Raw genomic sequence first — 20,440 nt, 5'->3', positions numbered from 1 at the left:
GTTATCCCTTCAACATATTATCCCTAAGAGCTGTCATTAGCATCATTCAAGCACACTGTCACCTAGTTCATTTGAAAATGTAAGAGCCAGGCAGTGCAGTAGATTTATTTAACTCTCAACTCCACATCCTATTTTAAATATAATTGGGAGTGGGAGGTAGGGGGAGAATTAATGTAAGCTTCTGTATTTAGCAATGACAACAAAAACCTCAAATAACTACCAAGCAGCCATTCATAGAATCATTGGGATCCTGGCTGTTATTCTATCTATGGGGCAGTCATGGATATAAAGCAATGGGGAATATTAGGTAACAATATCTTGAAGAGTGGAAGAGAGAATAAAGAAAAGAAAGCACCTACCTTCTTTTCCAGTCTATCAATTAATTTCTGGAGTCTATTTATCTGGGTCATCCACTGGTTGTCTTCTTCTAATAAGCCTGGGGCCAGGGGGAATCATGAGGGCAATATGTTAAACTTTAGACAGAGAAGAAATGCTTGGTTATATCAGAGCTTTCCTTCAACCCTGAAGGAAAGATGCAGTGTCACTGACTGGTCATTTTTTTAAAATGTATTCACGAGTGCTTTCTAAGGTATTGATTTCCATAGATCCATGCATCCCAGGGGTTCACTTCCACAGGCCTGTTTTTTAATGTAATTGCCTATTTGGCCTTTGATATTCAAAGAAAAGATCCTGCTGAGCCATTTACAAAACCCCGTGATGTAGTTGGTTTTCTTTTGCAAACAGGAAAGCATCAATCAACAATTCTAAACTTACTTGTAGGTCAGTGGCAAGAGCTAGTGAAATCATACCCCTGACCATAGCAAGGTGTAAATTGCTACGATAAAAAAAAAAACCATAAGGGCAAGATAGTTGGTGTCTCCTTTCCCAGGATCTAACTTGAGTATATATACATGGACTCTATAATCATGGCATAGTGGTTAAGAGTGCAGACTGGAGCCTGTTGATCTATATTCATATATATAATATATACATACATATGTATTTGTAGGTATGTAGTGTGTGTGTGTGTGTGTGTGTGTGTGTGTGTATCTAGCACCAAGTTAAACGTTATAGAAGTTCTGCTACTATTATTGTTTTTATTAACATTGTTATGCAAAGGGAAGAGTTATGATCTGAGCCTGTGCACAAATATCCTGGCATATTTGTATATACTGATTGCAGCTTAATAAAAATGTTTTCATAGGCATTTGCTGAAGTAGTATTGTTTAATATTTCTTGAAATCAGAATGTGATTGAATTCAAGACTATAAAGCCTTGTGTTAGCTTTGAATGCAATAAAGACAAGACCTAAATTATAAAGGGAGAGTGATGTCATCAGAATTTCCTTCTCCACCTGCCTTCTTGGAGGAAGCACCTTTCAAGGCCCACCAAATTATGATGTAAAAATGAGCACTGGCACTGCCACAAAGAAGTGGCTACAAAAAAAAAAAAAAGAGAGAGAAAAGAAAGGGGCTGATTGGAGAAAATATTACAAATATACTAATAAAATTTATGTTTTTTTTAAATTCTAATACAATATTTCTAATCTGGGTTATTCCCAAAATAATTTAAGGTGGCTGTCACATCAGAGACCCAAGAAAAGATATTTTGGACTATTTTCTAAATGGTTAAAATGGAAAGAACAATCTATATGTTGCTTCAGGAGCTTAGCATTGTCATTTTCTAGTTCCATGTGGTAGATCATATTATTTTTCCCAATTCTTCAATTTCTTCCTGCTATAGAAGTATCTGTATATACCCTTGCACCACAACTTTGCAGTATCTCCTATTATAATGAATGAAGCACATTTCCCTCCCCATTGTTACTGTGCTTGACATGTGATTTGTTTGGCCAATGGAGAGGTACCAGACAAGATGCACACAGTACATAAAACAATGGTTTTTAATATGCATGTATAATTTTGGGCTGGCTGCATGTGCTTCTGACACCCACTAGGAGAAGAAAATGATCCAGCTGTTGCTTATTCCAGAAGGAGGCTACATGAGGAGTGGGGCCAAACTCAACCTACATACAGCCTGGAACCACATCCAACTGAAATTGCCCAAATCACCAACCATAGACTCATGAGAGAGAAAAACAAGTATCTACAGGTGTAACCATCAAGATTTTAAGGTCGCTTCACAATAAAAATGGACTAATATTCCATATGACCTTGGACAAATCACTTAACTTCCCAGGCTTGTTTCCTTACCTGTGAAATGGAGAAATAGGGAAATTAACATCTATTTTATCAGGTGTCAAGATAAAATAAGGCTTTATTCATAAAAATACTCTGAAATCTTTCAAGTACAGTTGGTGAAAATATAGAATATAGCTTATACCTTGATTTTCTGAATATTAGATAAAGACTCGTGTTAAAATGACACGTTCAAGTGACATATGTGCATGTATATATGCATGCTTTATAAAAATTACTCCAATATTTAGCAACATGAGTTTGCATATTTCAAATTGATTTTAAAATGGTTATAAGTGACACAGTTAAAATTTAATAACCTAACAATTATGGGTATGGTTTAGCCCAGTAAATCTTATATCACATTACAAACTTCAAAAACACCAGCTATGACTAATCCTATTATGAAAACAAGGATCCTTTCCCCAGATGAACTTAGGATAGGCTTAGGGAGGCTTGGAGATCTAGAGCATATTAGGGTAGAGTCCCTTTATTTCAAGATCATGGGGGGTCCTTATAGACGTCAAGTCTTTTAGATGTTAGCTGATGAAGCTACTGCCTTCCCTATTCACCATCTCTCTGTGTGCTTTCCAGGCACAACTGCTAGGATTCTGACCATGCTGATTTTAGGCTCACCACCCCAGTTCTTCATACTACACTCTTCACTGCTTCTGTCTCAAACTTACTTGGTATAAGGAAAGTGTTCCATTACTATTGTCTTATCTGTTGTTTGTTAAAATAATCAATTGGAAAACGCAAGATAAATAGACTTTGACAAATAAAAACAAATGAAGGGTATGTTACCTGGACCGCTGACATTAAACTGAGGGCTGTTTGGGGAGAAGCTGTTGTGTCTCTGGACTCGGCGGCTTGATCGTTTTCCAGGCCATTGAATCGACAGGACTTCTGGCTTGGCTGGCCCTTGCCTTGATCAACAGAGATAACATTTAACCTTAATGTTAGTGCTTCAGTCTCTTCCTTCAGGGAAGAGATCTTCATGCGTCAGTCATAAAGGTTTTCTAGTGCAGCAAAATGAAAACTTATGAGAATGACTGCTTGTAAATGCTCTAGAAACCCAATGTAATTTGGTACTACAGTATGTGAACCTAAGAAAGAGAATTCTGAGCTTTCTTTATTCTTAAAATTCTGAGTAAAAATTGTAATTTAAGGTAGGCTTTTTTCCTTTGTTGGTCAACTTTCAGTGGAAAAACGTGTATGCAGCTATTGTATTTTGTTTAATTTGAAAACACTTATGGAGTTTTTTCTGTAATTCAGTTTTTAATTTTTTGGATCAAAGCTATACATCCATATATTTTTAGGAGTCAAATGATTCTATAAATCTTATTTCAACAAACAGGAGCTCCCTCGTTTCACCCCCATATCATATTCCCACTCCTCTTTCAAAAAGGCAACACTTTTTAGCAGGTGTTTACTTTCATATGAGTATATGTTATGATATGAAAGTAGCATATGTTAAAATATATATTATATACAGTATATCTTATATACTATATACAGTATATGTTATATACTGATATGAAAGTAAACACCTTCTAAATTATCAGTATATAACATGCTTAAATTGCTATGTCTTTAATTTTTAGTTTTAGGCTTTATCTATTAACTTCACAATATGAAAAGCTCAGGCCAATGATATACAAATGGAAATGTTGTAAGGAATTTCCAGGAAGGCTGCTTAAAAGTACAGATTCAGCTAGAAGGGATCCCTTTTGTCTTTCCTTAATCTTCTTTCCTGGTTGGAATGTGAACATGGTAGCTGGATCGCCAACAAACATCTTGGTCTATGAGGCAAACTTGGCAATAGTTTATTATATTAATATGCACTTAATATGTGAAAAAGAAAGAGTGTCTATGATAAATCTGTAAGGACATAATACTTAAGCTGCCTCCAACAAGATTTCTTTATAGGAGATATAATCCCTTGTGTGTAAGATATAATCCTTCTGTGTTTAAGACAAATCTAAGATTAATGTACTCATCCAAAAATTTTCATTATCTATCAGCTAGGGAAGATTCCTTTAGCCTTTCTCCTGTGTTGGATGACCTCTGATCCCCCTTTTACTAGATTTCATTTTTTTTCTTACCTGACTCCTTTGTTTTGGTGGAAAATATCCCCTAATTGCTTCATAAGAAAAGGTGCATAATGAAAGGTAAAATTCTTGAAACATTGCATGAATAAACATCTTCCTTACTTTATTGATGGTTTTATGGCATACAGATTTCTAGATTGCCAATTGTTTTGAAAAATTTGCTCCATTGTGTTCTATATCCCAGAGTCACTAGTGAAAAATCTAGTGTTTTCTTGATTATTTGCATATGGCCTGGTTTTTCTCTCTGGGAGTTTTTAGACACTTGTCTTTGTTTCCAGTATTGTGAAACTTCATAATGATGTATTTTGTGTTGGACTTTTATTAGCATTATAATGAGCTCTTGATCTGTTCTATCAAACTGGACACATATTCCAATTCTGACTATTTTTCTTAAATTCTTCCTTTGATAATTTTTCTGCTTTGTTCTCTTTCTGGAATTGCTGTTTTACAAACAGTAGACCTCTTGGACTGAGCCTCTAGTTTCCTTATCTCTTATATTTCACCTCTTTGTGGAGATTTCCTCACACTTTTATATTTCAACCTTCCTCAGAGAATGTAATTTTTGCAATCATAATTTCCAAGACCTCTTTTGTGTGCTTTGAATATTATTTTTAAAGCATTCTATCCTTAATTCATAAATGCAATATCTTTTATTTAGTTTTTGAAGGTATTGAAAACTTTCTTTTGAAATTTTTTGTCTGCTCTCTGGATTATCTGTTTCTTTCGAGTTTCTTTTCTTGTGTTTGATTTGTCCTTTTGGTTGACCCCATACATTTTAGAAGGAGGAACTACAAGTCTGACTGGAACCTCTTTGTTTGTGGCAGGGATTGCCAACTTGCAGTCTTCACTGTACAGTGGCCTGGCTGGGCCTATTCTTCAGGGAACCTTGACCATTGGCATTGTTAAGTCTTTTCTCTGGGATTAATCAGATCCCTCAAAGAAGCACGCCCCAACTGGAGTCTGAGCCCTGTTGTTAGTACTCTGGGAGTAAAATATATGAAGGAGATTTCACATCTCACTCTTCAGTATGGTGACTTTCAGTTAGTATCTCCTTTGTTAGTATTGTGTCCTATCAGCTGTGCCAGGTATACATATGCTCACCTTCTCCAGACAGCTTATGTCTGGGGTTCTTCAAGGATCGGGTAGGAGCAGTCACTATATAGCACTGGGTGGAGCTTCCAACAATATATCAGCCCTACCTTCACCCTCATTTTCAGTTCCACATGGTACAGCCAAGTCTTGAGCTTTTCTGAGGTTCTGTGATACCAAATATATTGTATCTTGGCTTCTTACATTGCCTGCTTCAGTTTCAGCTTTCTCAGAGCTTCTAAATCAATTTCCACTAGATTCACCTTCTCTCCACCTTCCAAGTTTCTGTCCCTTTGGCTCTTCTTCTATTCTTATTTTTGCAGGTTAATGCCTCCTTTTATCCAGGTACTTTTATGTCATGTTTTGAAGGGTTTAGAGAGAGAGCAAAAGAAATCATACATTTAATCATCAATCTTTAACTAAATCTCCCTATGAATTTTCCTATGGTATAAAAAAATCCAAGTTTTTGGCCAGGCGTGGTGGCTCACGCCTATAATCCCAGCACTTTGGGAGGCTCAGGCAGGTGGATCACCTGAGGTCAGGAGTTCAAAACCAGCTTGGCCAACATGGTGAAACCCCGTCTCTACTAAAAACACAAAAATTAGCTGGGCATGGTGGCAGGCGCCTGTAATCCCAGCTACTTGGGAGTCTGACGCAGGAGAATTGCTTGAACCCGGGAGGCGGAGGTTGCAGTGAGCAGAGATTGTGCCCCTGCACTCCATCGTGGGCTACAGAGTGAGACTCCATCTCAAAAAAAAAAAAAAAAAAAAAAAATCCAAGTTTTTGGCAGCTTTGGTGGTCAGGGGAGTAGGTGATTAGAGCAATCCTCCTCTATGTTCAAGCTAAGGAAATCTAAGCTGTCTAAACTTTTATAACCACCTGTTTGTGAAATTAAAGCTTTTCCTCACTTCTATAATAGACAACTATCAAAAGGAGAAAAATAACTTTCAAGTCAAGAAGGAATTAATTACGTTCCTGGATATAGAAAAACTTTGGGAAATAGAGCAAACTTGTGGATTCCATTATAAAAAGGAAATCCACATATAATGAAAACTGTGTTCCTAGAAATTTAGTTTGTGAGGAAGAGAGTTTTATGTAAGAGAATAGGGGACCCCTAGGGGGAAACTTCCATATAACATACTTATTATTCTTGTCATTAGCTATTACGTACTTTCTGAACACATGGAATTAATGTAATTCACATTTAGTCAGTTTGCCAGGGCAGATACAAAGAGTGTTGTAGCATGCCATCTGAAAATTCCACCTCTGTGGCATTCCAGCTGTACACATCCTTTCTCTCTCAAATATCCATTTTTACATGAATAGACACAGACATTTTGCCCAACATGGCATGTCTACCTCATTACTGCAGGATGAATGATACTGTGTGATTCTCCCCGGGGCTGATAGATGGAATAGATGACTTCCCTAAATTTGCTATATTCCAAGGAGTCTTTGTATCCCTAGGTTTCACAAATATTAAATCCCAAAGTAATGTTGATGCTGAAGGGAAAGCAAATTATCACAATCCTAGAGATTTTAATGATACCTGCAGGTTGTAACTCTTGTTTTTTTGTTTTTTTTTTGAGATGGAGTTTCGCTTTTGTTGCCCAGGATGGAGTGTAGTGGCGCGATCTCTGCTTACTGCAACCTCCGCCTCCTGGGTTCAAGTGATTCTTCTGCTTCAGCCTCCAGAGTAGCTGGGATTGCAGGTATCTGCCACCACCATGCCGGGCTAATTTCTTTGTATTTTGAGTAGAGACAGGATTTCATCATGTTGGCCAGGCTGGTCTCGAACTCCTGACCTCAGGTGATCCACCTGCCTTGGCCTCCCAAAGTGCAGGAATCACAGGTGTGAGCCACCATGCCTGACCTGCAGGTTGCAACTCTTGACTGTGAAGGGCATCACAAAATCTTCCTTTACAACATAAAAAAACTGATGAATTGGCTGGGAGTGGTGGTTCAAGCCTGTAATCCCACACGTTGGAGGCTGAGGTGGGTAGATCACCTGAGGTCAGGAGTTCGCGTCCAGCCTGGCTAATATGGTGAAACCCTGTCTCTACTAAAAATACAAAAATTAGCTGGGCATGGTGGCAGATGACTGTAGTCCCAGTTACTCGGGAGGCTAAGACAGGAGAATTGCTTGAACCCGGGAAGCGGAAGTTGCAGTGAGCTGAGATTGCATCACTGCACTCCATCCTGGGCTACAGAGTGAGACTTTGTCTCAAAACAAACAAACAAACAAAAAACTGGTGAATTTTTGTTTGCATCTTTCTAGCTTTTAAGATCTTTCTGAACCCCAGATGACTGTTAGATTGGTCTCCTCAGTGTTCTGGGTCCTCACCAACTGCTCCTGTGTAGCACTCCTTTCACCTAGAATTCCTTTCATTCATTCACTTTCATATGTTTACCATGCAGTTGTAGTAAGTAGAGGGGACTTATGCAAAGTCTCTGCCATCTAAAAACTCAATGTCTAATGGGGGAGATAAACAAGGAAGGGGCTGAGATAAGTAGATATAAATAGAGGGCACTATGGGAATACATGGTAATGAGGTGGGAAGTATAAATGAGCAGTGAAGGCTTCCCAGAGAAAGTACTGTCCAATCAGTGACAAGACAGACGAGGAGAAGTGAGCCAGATGAGAGATGGGTAACATGAGATGGGTGAGACGGATCCCTCTAGAGAGAATCTCATTCTGCCATTAAAATTCATCCTAAAGTTCCACTTCAAGTCTTGTCTTCCCATCAGGCGTTTTCACTGGTCTCTTGATTGACATCATAGGAAAGGTATAGTTTTTCTCTCTCTATCTTTTCCTCACTGATGAAGGTCCCAGGGCTCTCCTCACTTTTGGTGGCCAGCTGATAGGAAGATATAGCCTTGGGAGAGGAGACACAGTCCCTTTAGGTTTGGGCATAATTCACGTGCTTCAGTCTGGTTCATCAGATATTACGGGCATAAATCCATAGTGGTACCTTATTTTCTGTTTGCTTGTTTATGCATTTCTTTATAAACCTCTCAGGGGGAATATCACAGATTTGGGGTGGGATTTTGTCATTCCTGGGTGTCTTAGTCAAATGCCATACAACAGCACCCCTTAAACTGCAGTCAGACATGTAACATTTCCCATTATTTGAAGCTGTTTTTGAGTGAGAAATCCAGAAGTAAAAGGTTCGTTAATCCTCTAGTGCCTTCTACTTTCCTTAAAGTCTATATTGTCATGCTCCTTCTCATTAAGCACAGCTGCTAGGCAGCTGCTGGCAGCAGTCACAAGAGTTCAAGGCTAGCCTGTGGCCTAACACAGAAAACAGTTGTTCATTAAACATTCACAGCATGGTGGTAAATGCAGAGCACAGGTTTTCAGGGGATGACTGTAGAAAAAAACAAAAGCGCAGGTGAAGAAGGGGAGTAGAGCACTTTTTCAAGCCTCTTCTCAGGTGGCAGATGACTGATTCTAAAAAGGGAGTTCCCATTTTATTTCCAGAAAGTCCAAACAAAAGAAACAACACAGGAGGCCTCATTTTTCTCATTAGGAACATGAAATCCATTTCACTGTGCTTCAAGACATTCAGTTATCCTCTGCTCAAAGCTGAGGAGGTGGGTTTTGCTTTTCTAAAGTGAATTGTTATACTTTGCCATTTGGTATAGAATCACCCAACGCAGTGAAAACAGGAAGTTTATGATGTAGAGGATGCTTCACAGATCTGCTAAAGAGTACTTCCCTGTGACAGTCAGCTGCATGGGCTCATTAGATTCTGGAATTACAGGATTTTTTGTTAGAAGTTGGTGGTGCTCACTCATTTTGACATTGTAAACACATGGTTGAAAATTCCACTATTTTGGAGATGTCCTAATAATTATGTATCAGTTAATTTGTTCAGGAAAATTGGTCCTGCAGGGTAGTCTATTATCAGCCTGTTCAGAAAACTTACTGTTTCCTTCTCTCTAATTTAAGATGTAAAAGTTAGATAAAGCACATCTATAAGTTTAAAGTAACACATCTGCCAAAATATGCCCCAGGAGCAAGAGTTTTGCAAGCTTCTCTAGCTTGCAAAGTATAAGCAATGACAACTCAGAAAAATATCAACTGTTGGCTGGGATCACCTTGATGTGTGCCCTACACATTTTTAGTATAGGTGTCTCTTAAGCATTAGTGCCTTTATTTATATAGCTATTGCAATATGACTACTTATTTTCTCAGTGATACCTATTGGTGGCATTGAATTTTGAAATAATTTCCATCATTCACTTTTCTCCATTTCCTGAAATAATTAGGCTTACTGAATTATCAGGTCTCCCAAGTATATCCAGGTTCATGTAGTCTGTAAGGGTCTTTCCCATCATTTCCACATTTTCAAAATTACACCAAATTAACAAGGAAGGGGTTGAGATAAGTAGATATAAATAGGGGGCACTATAGGAATACACGGTAGTGAAGTGGGAGGTATGAATGAGCAGTGAAGGCTTCCCAGAGAAATTACTGTCCAATCAGTGACCAGACAACCAAAGAGAAGTGAGCCACATGAGAGGTGGGTAACAGGAGGTGGGTGAGACGGATCCCTCTAGAGAGACTCTCATTCTGCCATTCAAATTCATCCTACAGGTCCAGTTCAAGTCTTGTCTTCCCACCAGGCTTTTTCACTGATCTCTTGATTTTGCAAGACAAGCTCAAATAGAGAAACTCCATGAAATTGACTTTCTCATCCTTCCATCCCTCTATCCATATTTAATCTTTTAATATTCTGAAAACAATTGGCAATGTATTTCCTCTTCTCTACGGTATTTATTATCACTTTGTTCTTTGCAGTATAGTTTTTGTGTTCATGTCTTATTTATATGATAGACTTAGGCTTCCTTAAGGATTGACATTATGTTAAATGTATCTTTATATTATTCATAATACTTTAAAGTCTTCTCCATCTACTAAATTTTCAATTAAAATTTGTTGACTCAGCTGGGCTCAGTGGCTTACACCTGTAATCCCAGCACTTTGGGAGGCCAAGATGGGTGGATCATCTGAGGTTAGGAGTTCAAGACCAGCCTGATCAACATAGTGAAACCCCGTCTCTTCTAAAAAATACAATAAATTAGCTGGACGTGGTGGTGTGTGCCTGTAATCCCACCTATTTGGGAGGCTGAGGCACAAGAATTGCTTGAACCCGGGAGGCAGAGTTTGCAGTGAGCCAAGATCGTGCCACTGCACTCAAGCCTGGGTGACAAAGTGAGACTCCATCTCAAAAAAAAAGAAATATATATATATACACACACACATATATGTATATATATACACACACACACATATGTGTGTGTGTATATATATACACACATACACATATATGTGTGTGTGTGTATATATATACACACAGACATATATATACACGCACACACACACATATATATATATATATATATATATATATATAGTTTACTAAATGACTGACAGTAAAAGAAAAAGTAGAATGGTCTTTTTAGAGGCAAATAATAAGGCAAGCAACCAGTGGAGGTCACTGTCATTCTTTTTAAATATATCAATTCTCTTTTTTAGTTTTTGCTAGTGTAAGTACAATGCCTCTCAATTGTTTTTTCATGAACATAGAGTCACTAAATAGACATCAGATGAAAACATGTAAATTGCCTTTCTTGACGGGTTTGCTCCTCAGTAGTTTCCATGGCACATTCCAGGGAATTCTGGAGAGACTGCAGCTGATTCAGGGTTTCCTTCAATAAAAATCTAGTTACGAATTGTTCCAAATTGGAGGCTTCTTGGTAGTCCTAAGGGTGACAAAACAAATGCAATTAGAAGTATGGTAGAAAAAAATACCCAGGATTTTTTTTTTTTCTTTTACCATGTACCCATCAATCCCAGATTGATCCTAGAGAGAGAGGGTGGAGAGAAGGGAAAAGATCTGTCGAGCCCTGGAGGCTACAGCATCACTCTCATCCACCCACCAGGAGATGAATAAAAAAGCTGCAGAAATGACTGGAATATCTTGCCTCCCAATATACCTGCCTCAAGATTAAGAAAAAGGACAAAACCAGCAGAGTTGCAAAATAGACATCTGTAGAAAAGAAAAAATAAATATCCGGTGGCGGAGGGGGAAGATCAGAATGTGACTAACTCAGGGTTTGTTCTATGTCTCATTTGAATGTTGACCACGCCATCATATATTTTCACTATTACCAACAAAATGCAACCATGTTTCAGCAATTGGCTTAATTCACTCTTGATGTATTTATTATGCTTGATCCGTATTATGCTGAAGACAAAGAAAATTATGTGTAGTTATTTAAAATTCAGAAAATGTTAGGATTGGAGTATTTAAATGGTTTACTAAATCTGCTTATGTCTTTCCTTCAGTAACTTTACCTGAGGCTCATTGACAATTAACTTCTAGGACAACACCTGAGCCACAAAAGCAGCATTCACTGAAACAGCCCCAGGGTCACTGCAGAGGTCACTGCAGACTGAATAAGTGTACTTGCCAAGCTTACTCAAGGTAGATGGGTGAGCTGTGGATGGTACCACCTGCTGTGCTTGTCTCCCTAAAGTCTCAGGGAGAACCAACAACAAAAACCAGGTTGGTGTGGAATAAGATGGTGACAGGGCCACTCTTTCAGATCATGGGACCAGCCAGTGAAATCTGATTTTCTAGAATCTTGAGTGGAAATGGTACATTCAAGTTCAGCCAAGGAAAAGATTTATTTGTCTCTGTCCCTAAACAAAATTTTTTTATGGCTGAAAAGACAAAACACAAAACGACTGAGGGTGATAACACAATACCACGGATCCTGATATGCTGAAGAAGCTTAGGGCATAGTTATAAACCCAAACAAGTAAGATTTAGGTATCTAACCTTCCTGGTTCTCAGTTTTCCCACTTATAAATCACTAAGTAACTCTGGCATACATTCCAACTCAAAAATATTCTGTGCTTCTATCAACTTTAATTTAGGAAGAATTGGACTATGGCCTCCTGATATAGTTTACTTTGGAAGTTTTTCTAATAGAAGAATAATGTAATAGCATAGAAAATCTCATTTCTTTCTCAATTTGAAATAGTAAAAAGTTTCAATCATCAGCCTCTTTTTAAGCTCATTCATTACAGGTGAACAACACAGGAAATTTTCTTATCTACTGAGATGGTTAATATTGAGTGTAAACTTGATTGGATTGAAGGATGCAAAGTATCGTCCTTGGGTGTGTCTGTGAGGGTGTTGCCAAAGGAGATTAACATTTGAGTCAGTGGACTAGGAGGGGCAGACCCACCCTCAATCTGGGTGGGTACCAACTACTACAGCTGCCAGAATGGCTAGAATAAAGCAGGCAGGAGAAGATGGAAGAGCAGACTTGCTGAGTCTTCTGGCCTTCATCTTTCTTCTGTGCTGGATGCTTTCTGCCCTCAAATATCAGACTCCAAGTTCTTTGGCTTTTGGACTCTTGGACTTACACCAGTAGTTTGCCAGGGGCTGTCAGGCCTTTGGCCACAGACTGAAGGCTGGACTGTTGGCTTCCCTACTTCTGAGGTTTTGGGACTCAGACTGATCCACCACTGGCTTCCTTGCTCCTCAACTTGCAGAGGGCCTATGTGGGACTTTACTGTGTGATCATGTGGTGTGAATCAATTATCCTTAATAAACTCCCTTCATATAAACATCTATCCTATTATTTCTGTCCCTCTAGAGAACCCTGACCAATACATCTACCATATATAATAGTCCTATTTAAAAATTAAAAATTGCAATGTCTTTAAACTCCATTTAAGAAACTAACCGTAAACTAAACATAACCATTACATGCTTATAATAATCTTAAGAGTTTTGGGTGAGTTAAATCAAGCTAAAAATATTCCAAATATTTAATTTGATCTCATAGCTTGCTATTTATTGGTTAAAAAAAAACTTCAAAAAATTCTCTCTGAATGAGTTTTTAAAATTGAGGAAGGCTTTTCTTTGAGGTTGAAAGAAAATGTGATGATAGAAAAAAAGGTGTGTTTGAGTCTTTTCCCACAGTTATTTCCATATCACCAATGGATATTTTAAAAAATAAAATTTATTAAAATGAAGATAAAATATAATTGCAAAGTCAGGGATTATACCAACTATTTTCGCATCTCAGTATATACTATGACTAATATAAAGCAAATGATAAAAAGTTTTATACTTATTTGTAGACTGCATTGAAAAATGAAGAAAGCAAACATTTACTGAGCAATAAAGCATAGCATTGTCCTTACTCTTTTCTCATTTAAATGTTAAATATTTGCCATGTCAGAATTATAGAAAAGAGATTAAAAAATTATAGTTAGTCATTTTAAACATTCCAGTCATTGCAATTAGGTTTCAGCTTCTTTGACAGAAAGGTCATGTCTTTTATTTCTGTATCCCTTATGGTGGAGTAGAGGTTCATTCATACCTGATAGTTTGCAGATACACTCCTAACTCTAAGAATTTATTGCATTTGCTATTGTGATCTTACATACAAATATTTTGATGATGTTAAAGTTAGATAATTAAGAAAAGTTAAAGTCAGACAACTGGCCACTCATCATTGCTCCACCATAGCAAATCAGAAAGTTATGATTAGGCTAACCCTCTTATCTCACTCTGATGAGAGTTTGATAACCTTACTAGTGACTCTGTAGGTAACATTGAAAAGTGGCAGAACCCAGTTGGTTGATACATTTCTTTGATATAAATGTTGATGCCTTGAAATTGAGAGGGGTGGTGGGTGGGTTTAAGGTTTGGAGGATTAAATTTTTTGAGTCAATTATGAAGGTTTGCTGTTTTATACTACCCCTCATTGATAAGGAGGAAAAAAACCTTGTTTTCTAATATTCCTACTTATCCTTCCAGACTCAGCTTGTAACACTGTCTCTGTACAGATGTTCCTTTCCTTGAACCACCACTTCTCTTCATAGGATTAGGAATACATCTTTCCACTTCTATGTATTTTTGTGACATTTCTTCCCTACCTAGGATATAGAATTTTTCATAGGATGTAGAATTTTTCATTGTGATGTTGTGATCTGTTGTTCATTTGTCTATCTTCCCCATTTTAGGCTAGCTCTTTAAGCACAGGGATTATGTCTTATTCATCTCTGCCTCCAGAGTACTCAGAACAAAATTGCCTCATAGCAGCTGCCCCATAAATGCTTAAGAAATGTGTGAGAAACCGGGTCCCACATGGAGAGTCAGGCACCAGAGGGAGTGTCCAAGCTCTGGGAAGTACTCTTGCCACTGGCTGGTCACCACCTGCCTCCCCCTGCATCCAGCCCTTGCTGGTTGTAGACATTACCACCCGACTTGCCCAGTCATGTGGGCTCTGCAATAAAGAAAAATACAGCTTTGTTCTAACAGACTGTTTGTCCTCATTTTATTTTCTGGACCATTTGTTAGTCTCCTTCCCTTCCCTTATTCTGGATCTCAAGGTTTGAGACTGCAGACCCGGGTGGCACAGATCCAATCTTCCTTCCCTTTTCTCAGATATGCAGCAGATGTTCCTTTGGAAGGCAGTGGCAAAAGAAGCAGATGGAAAATTAAATAGATAACAAGCTGGAAAATGTCAAATCCTGGCCCTTTTAATTCTCAGCAAATGTGTTGGTAGCGAAGGTACAAAAAGAGATTTTTTGCATTCCTAATTCCCCAAAAGACTGGTATGTTGGCATAAGGCATGCATTCCTTTGAGCAAAACCTGTATTTGAGAGACTGGCAGAAAGAACTCCTACAGACAAAATAAAGTAGTTTAAAAATGTACAGATTATACTCATTATTCAGATTTTGCTTCTTTTTTTTTTCAAACGCAGTTTAATCCTCCATGTCTATCAGAAAGAATATGGGAAAGTAAAAGTTAACGTTATACTTCTCAGATCCTAATAATGTTCATTCGTGTCATGATAATTATTAGTTACACAAATCATTAAGTGGAAATTGTCAACAAAGTAGTATTAATACCTCCATTTTTGTCTGCGGAAAGCCAAAATGTAAACATTTCAATCTACACATTTCCTTTGGTGGAGCTGGAACAGGGCTAGAATTCATTTGAGTAAAAATCCTAGCATTGGAAGCATAGTGCTTTGAATCAGGTTTCTTAGAAAACTGTCTGTGCATCTTAATTTTCACATCATTTCTCAGTAAGCAAGCTCTGCCCATCAGGTTGATAGAATCATCTGAGTTAATTAGGAAAATTAGAGCATCAGTCTTCCCTGTTTGAAAATCAATCAAGTCAGTGACATCTAGGGTTAGTGTATTCTTGTTTATGAGGTCAGATAACAATCACATTTAGCAAGGGGCACTGCTTCTGACTGTCTTTTGGATTAACTCCCTGCAGCTCTCGCCATTCTTGTGTAAGACATCTGCAGCAGCTTCTATAACAGAAAAAAAAATAACTTTACAAAGATAAGGTTGTCTTTTGCTCTTTTCTACTCTATCCACAATTATTACTTTTTAAAATACTAAGTGGGCTACACACATTATCTATGTCCCACTTCTTTTAAATATTCTCAGGCTTTTATTTTAAATGGCACATTTTTTTTTTCCAAACTGGGAGACCACTATATCAAATTTAAGCCTTATAAAAATACAAAAATAAAGAACTGGCTCTTACTTGTCCTAATAATGGACAGAGGTTAATTCCAGCTAGTCTTTGCAAACCTTAGATGGCAAAACAAGATATCAAAATAATTTCAGACTACAGATTCCCAAGGATTAAGGAAATGATAGATTCTCAGATTAGTGAACGAGGAGACAAAATTATAATTTTGGATTAAATATTATTAAACAATTAATAAATTGAAATAAATTCTGAGCCCTATCTTAACCAGATATTCTGTAGTTTGAAATAAGTTGATACTTTAGAGATGAATTATATTAAGACCTTTACGTTGACAAACTCCACTTTAAAGGGCTCATCTTAAAGTCATCAAGAACTTATTTTGTGTAGGATTCTTTCCTCTGGCTCCTCCTATTGTTCTGTCTCATATCAGGAGACCCTAACAAGAACATAAGACTACTTGGATGTCTTTGCCTAAAGGACAATCCCATTCTGCTGGGAAGTAATCCTCTTCAAACATTAGGAATTTTAGAAAAATGCACATGGGTATGAGGATGGGGACATCTAGAGAGTCAGCCCAAATCTGAGATTAACTACTAGATGAGGACCCAGGTCACATTCATAGGTGTCTAATAACATAATGTAGTGGTTAAGAAGCTGGCTCTGAAGACAGTCACACTTACGTTCTGTGTTTATGCCACTTGACAGCTGTGTGAACTTTGGAAAGTATTCAACCTTTTAAAATCCCTATTTCCTTAACTATGGATAAGAATAGTTATCATAAGTTTGTTGCAAGTATTAAAATTAAATACAGCATGTGGCACACACAGTAGGGTATCTAGCTCATAATTTTTGATAAATGCTCATTATTGCTATTAACCCATTGGAGAAAGGATATTATAAAGTGTAATGGACAGATCATTGGCTCAAACTTCACAAGACCTGGGTTTGTTTGCTGTGATAATACTTCACCTCAGAATTATTGCTAGGACAAATATGTAGCTAGTGTTTGGCACATAGCAGGCTCTTCACAAATATTAATTTTCCTGAGTTATTTTTGACACATATTTTCTACTGCATATCTGCTACCTTGCTTATTCAAAAATGTACACCTTTTATATACATACTTGTTACCAGATTGAAGCTGTGATCCATGGAATTTGGTGTTTGAGGAGTGTCAAGTTTAATATGTAGAGTTCAAGTGCAAAATTTATCAAAAATTTTTCCATTCTTGACTTGATTCGCCTCAAGTATAGTAAATTAGTAAATTAGATATAGTAAATTAGACACAATTTATAATATATACAATCAGATACAATTTATAAACAGTACTTCTTGCATTCCCCTCTCTCTCCTCTGAATTCTATGAGCCATATCCTCCTATAGAACATCTTGTTTTCTAGAATCTTTCCAAAATTCTTTCTTAGTCTTTGATTTTACTCCTCTTTCTTCCTTTCTCTCCTATATCTTTATATGTATATTGGCTAAGATTTCTTCCTTTCTCCTCAAATTTGTATGAGTCTGGTTTTACTCATCTAGGCCCAGTTCTTGTTCTGTATCACAGTTGTGTAGAAACCACAAAATAGTAACAGGAGGATTTGGGGAAGATGGCCATGTTGGTGGCATAGTTTATAAAACCCTTGGAATCTTCACATAAAAACAGAGCAAACAACTAGAAAACAGCAACAACAAAAAGCTCCAATAGACAATGAATGCAACAAAACTAGATGACAAGGTGTCATCATCAACCTACAATTGCAGGTGGGTAAGGACAAAATCACTGACAGCCACAAGAGATGCATTGCATGGTGTTGCTGGATGTGTAGGCAGAAACAAAGGAACACAATGGGTTATGAGACAAACCTGAGAGCAAGAGAACTCCAAAGTAGCCAACAAATGTTCACTAGAATAACAATGGCTAATTTGAGAATAGCAACTGAAACTGGCAGTCATTTTATCCAAAAGTGGTTGAGTACAAAAATGAGAGAGCACAAAAATCTTAGTAAGTCCTAAAGGGATTGGAACTGTGTAGCCCCTGTGAACTCTTAAAATCGGTCACTCCAAGGGCTATGTCAGGAGGGACCTACACTGAGGAATTAGCTAGGAGTGGACTCAAAATTGAGAGGGATGGTCACAGAGACAAGAAATAAAAAGGGAGATTCAGATAAAAAGTTGGGGAGAGAAACAGAGCCAGAAAGCCTTGGAAGAAAAGCTGCCTTATTTTTTCAGTACTATAAGACAAACCACTTAAGAGGAAGCCCTGTGAAGTTAGAAAAACAATTTTGAACACAACTTCCTTTGAAAAAATTCAGGAAAACTGAATTCTTAAAAGCAGCAAAAAATTATTAAGGTCAAATCCTATGCAAGGTTATAATAAGAAAAAGAAAAATAAGAAGCACAATAACATCCCTGCAGACAATGAAAGCATACCAGAAAGACAAGATGACAAAACAGACCCAAGTGCAACCAAGTATTTAAAAATAAGCTAGAAGATATTAAGAAAAAGATTTCAAGAAATGAACAAAAACATAAATCAGAGTTAGATTAACTCAGAAATGAAGTGATAGGATTCAGAAAAGAATTAGTAATGGAAGAAAAGTATTATTTCCGAAATTAAGTCAAAATTAGAAGGAACATAAAAACAAATAAACATTACATGTAATACCTTAATAAGAGAAAATGAAAGGAAAGAAAGCTTTTAAAATCAAAAATAACAAAGAAAACAAATAAAAGGGATTTGAGAGGAAGTGACAAATGTTGAATATACAAAGAATATACAATATACTGATAATAGAATTTCTAAGGAAGGATAGAAACTAACAAAGGAAAATAACACTAGAAACTATTATTCAAGAATGTTTTCCTAAAATAAAATGATTTGATATTAAACACTGAAAGTATGCCATATGTATGAGAATATCGACTCAGAACAAACACATCAAGACATATTTTCATAAAATTGCTGGACTGACAAAGCAAGAATTCTTCATGCATGGAGACATATAGAGCAAATGACTTATGGAGTAAAAAACAAAACAAAATAAAATCTAGATTACCACAAGGTTTTCCAAAACCAACACTTTTATTCCAGAAAAAAACGTAGTAACATATTTTAAGATATTTAAAATAGAGCCAAGAATTTTGTATCAGGAAAAATTGTCTTTTAAGTATAAACGGTCCCCGAAAATTGTGAACATGCTAAAACTCAGGTAATATTGTTCTTGTGAGCCCTTCCTCAGGAATCTTAGAAAATGAGCTGCAGACAACCAAAACAACCAGGGAGACTTCAACATAAATACTGGTGATCTAGACCAGATCCAGGCAACATTTTTTTTTTTTTCGTAGAGGCCTAGACAGTAAATATTTTAGATTTTGTGAACAAGAGATCACATGAAAGCAGCCATAGATATAACTGAATTAGTTGGACTATGTTCATAGACCATATAAAATATATGACTGGCAGAATTTGGCCAATGGCTGGAGTTTGCTGATCACTATTTCAGTCACTGAGTATCAAAGGCTGCCAACCTCAAAAATAAAAACAACTAAAAGATGTGATCCTTGACAGGAGAACACACTATCCACTATAGTTTTGTCAAATTAGCCTCTGGATTTAGCTGACAATTTCTAGCAAAGATAGAGTTCAGAAGAACGTGCTTACTTGTACCATGATTGGCAATCAGTAAAGCCTAAACCATGAGCATAAGCACCTCTCTGGGCTCTGTAACGGATAAACTGTAAAAATATATAAATAAAAGCGATTGCAAGATAGCCTATAAATTAAAAGAAATGCAATACAGAGAAAATGAGTACAATTTAACTACAGTTTCTGGGAATGAAAATCTGTGTAATAAAACCATAATAAAACACAAGGAAGTGACTACTAGAAGGATCCATTGGTAGTTATTTTCAGGGGAAGGAGGAATCATAATTGGGACAGAGCATGTGGAAAGACTTCTGGGGTAACTGGTAGGTCAGGTTTCTAAAATCTTGGTGATGGATTCAAGAGTGTTTGCCTTATGATCATGAAGTTCTACATTTGATTTGTGTGGCTTTCCTTTTTGTTTTGTTTTACAATAAAAAGGTTAAGGTATGTGTAGGAACCAGTCTAGTAGAAATATACTATATTCATATGTTTGAGGAGCTGTGGAGTAGACAGATAGGGGCTGTAAAATACAGGACTCTTTGGCAGGCAGTAGGACAAGAAAATCTGTAAACACTTCCAAATTAGTAATTTTTAACACCTCTTATATGCCATCTTCTCAACTGCTAGCATGCATTTTTCTGGAGTGTAACGTAGAACCAAATGTTACGTTTTTAAGTATGAAGAGCACAGAACTATGTTCGTACATAAATTGGATTCAATTTATGTTTGTTGATATTGATGATAAAATATCACCAAAATTTCTTCCCCATAAATACACTGCTTTCCACCTTATTGCTCACACACTTTTCTTTGAATATCATTTTTAAGCTTGTGGAATACACATGAGACAA

At 37.0% G+C, this 20,440-nt stretch overlaps 1 protein-coding gene and 1 long non-coding RNA gene across 8 annotated transcripts in view; one reads left to right on the top strand and one right to left on the bottom strand.

Moving 5' to 3' along the window:
• The window catches only part of NECAB1 (N-terminal EF-hand calcium binding protein 1), a 167,619-nt gene that overhangs the window by 30,735 nt on the left and 116,444 nt on the right, over positions 1 to 20,440 (bottom strand). For both annotated transcript variants that reach the window (NM_022351.5, XM_011517213.3), the window contains exons 6-8: positions 11,031 to 11,167; positions 3,003 to 3,124; positions 360 to 436 (exon numbers count right to left, since the gene is read on the bottom strand). In NM_022351.5, the coding sequence (NP_071746.1) occupies positions 360 to 436; positions 3,003 to 3,124; positions 11,031 to 11,167 (336 nt within the window). The remainder of the gene's footprint in view (positions 1 to 359; positions 437 to 3,002; positions 3,125 to 11,030; positions 11,168 to 20,440) is intronic.
• The window catches only part of LOC105375634 (uncharacterized), a 109,088-nt gene that overhangs the window by 25,328 nt on the left and 63,320 nt on the right, over positions 1 to 20,440 (top strand). The gene's annotated exons all lie outside the window — the stretch shown is intronic.

This window comes from Homo sapiens, chromosome 8, assembly GCF_000001405.40.
Source record: "Homo sapiens chromosome 8, GRCh38.p14 Primary Assembly".
Lineage (NCBI taxonomy): Eukaryota > Metazoa > Chordata > Mammalia > Primates > Hominidae > Homo > Homo sapiens.
The sequence above is the reverse complement of the archived record's forward strand: the minus strand, read 5'-3'. Positions and strand labels throughout refer to the sequence as shown.